Genomic DNA, 1,725 nt, shown 5'->3' with positions numbered 1-1,725 from the left:
TCAGTTGAAATGCCTGCTCAGATACAACTGAGCAAGTTGAGGCACTGGTCAGTTGCCACCAGGATGCAAGTTTTGTGCTAAGTCTATAGCTGGTAAGGTGCTTTGTCTCCAGTAACTAAAATATATGGGTCCAGAAACCAAAAGTTGAAAGGAATGCCCCTTTTACCACCACTCCTAGTGAGTTACTTGCAGAATATGTGCTTCCCGTCCCCACAATCATAGGTTCTGTAAGGTCCTGGTCTCTGATAGGAGAGCCATTTCACCCAAGAGCTACCAAAGTCACAACGAGCGTGTGTTCATTGGACTCCTCATGCCAATGGAGCAATAGGTAAAAAAAGAAAAGAATAAAAGAATTTCTGCAGGCAGTGGATTACACATGGCCACAAATTATTTGTCACTGCACCCGACAAGAGGTGGGATCTGCGTTCCCTCCGCCTTGAATCTGTGCTGTGTGGCTGCTCTGACCAAGAGAATACAGTGGAAGTGATGCTATGACAACTCCTGGCGTAGCCCTCAAGAAGTCCCCCATTTCCTTTCAGTTCCTTTGCAGTTACCTGCCCATCTGAGCATATTGGCTGACAAACACACAGGCCTCAGATCAACAGAATGAAGTGGTATCTCTTTTTCTTGTTGTTGTTTTATTTTTTTGAGACAGAGCTCACTCTGTCACCCAGGCTGGAGTACAATGGTGTGATCTCGGCTCACTGCAAGCTCCACCCCTGGGTTCAAGCAATTCTCCTGCCTCAGCCTCCTAAGTAGCTGGGATTACAAGCGCCTGCCACCACACCCTGTTAATTTTTTTTTTTTTTTTTGTATTTTTAGTAGAGATGGGGTTTTGCCATGTTGGCCAGGCTGGTCTTGACCTCCTGACCTCAGGTGATCCATCTGCCTTGGTCTCCCAAAGTGCTGGGATTACAGATGTAAGCCAGTGCGCCCAGCCTGAAGTGGTATCTCTAAAACAAGGCTGCCAGTCCCCTTTCCCAAAGGTCTCCTGAGTCATGTTTCACTGGAGTCCACCTGCCTGGAGCATGACCGTCTTGGTCTGCTCATTGTCATTTCTTGCTATGGCAGGGCAACTCCTGCTACAAATTCTAATGTTCAACATGTCTACAGTCATTAGCAGCAGTAGTCTCCGCTGCTTCTTCTATAGAACACCATTACTAGACTCCCACGGGATGGAAAAACGCCTTTGTTGATCATTCCTGGCTTTGAGTCAAGCAAGATGTCAGGAGAAGCAGCTTGAGGAGTGGTTGCTGCCTGCTAGTCTCCAGTCAGGACTGACATATGCAGTCTGCTCTGTTGCTACTGCAGACATTTCATTTGGAATAGCTACACTGATAAAGTAATTGGAAATACTTATGTTTTTATATTATGGGTCCATGGAAATGATTTGCATAAAAGGATCTTTACATGCCAAATAAAACATTACCACAAAACTCAGGTTGATACCAAATGACTGCTTTTGAGGCAATTAACATCCCACTTTGGGTCAGTTTTGTTATTGTCATTGTTTTTGTTATTGGAATCAACTATACAACAGCAAAACCAGGATTCATGAAAGAAATAATTGATAAGCTGAACTCCATTAAAATTAAAAGCTCCTGCTCTGTAAAAGATACTGTCAAGAGAATGAGAAGATGAGCCATAGACAGAGAAAAAACACTTACAAAAGAGGTATCTGATAAAGAGCTATTATCCAAAATAGACAAAACACTCTTAAAACTC

The 1,725-nt window shown here is 43.7% G+C and overlaps 1 annotated feature.

Moving 5' to 3' along the window:
- Positions 673-895: a silencer, noted in NCBI's record as "fragment chr16:53610651-53610873 (GRCh37/hg19 assembly coordinates)". NCBI's record gives its function as "represses an EF-1alpha promoter that drives an FKBP-Casp9 reporter gene in an ReSE screen in phorbol 12-myristate 13-acetate-treated (for megakaryocytic differentiation) K562 erythroleukemia cells {active_cell/tissue: K562(+PMA)}" and the evidence as "EXISTENCE:reporter gene assay evidence [ECO:0000049][PMID:32094911]".

The sequence above is a fragment of the Homo sapiens genome, chromosome 16, assembly GCF_000001405.40.
Source record: "Homo sapiens chromosome 16, GRCh38.p14 Primary Assembly".
NCBI lineage: Eukaryota > Metazoa > Chordata > Mammalia > Primates > Hominidae > Homo > Homo sapiens.
The sequence above is the reverse complement of the archived record's forward strand: the minus strand, read 5'-3'. Positions and strand labels throughout refer to the sequence as shown.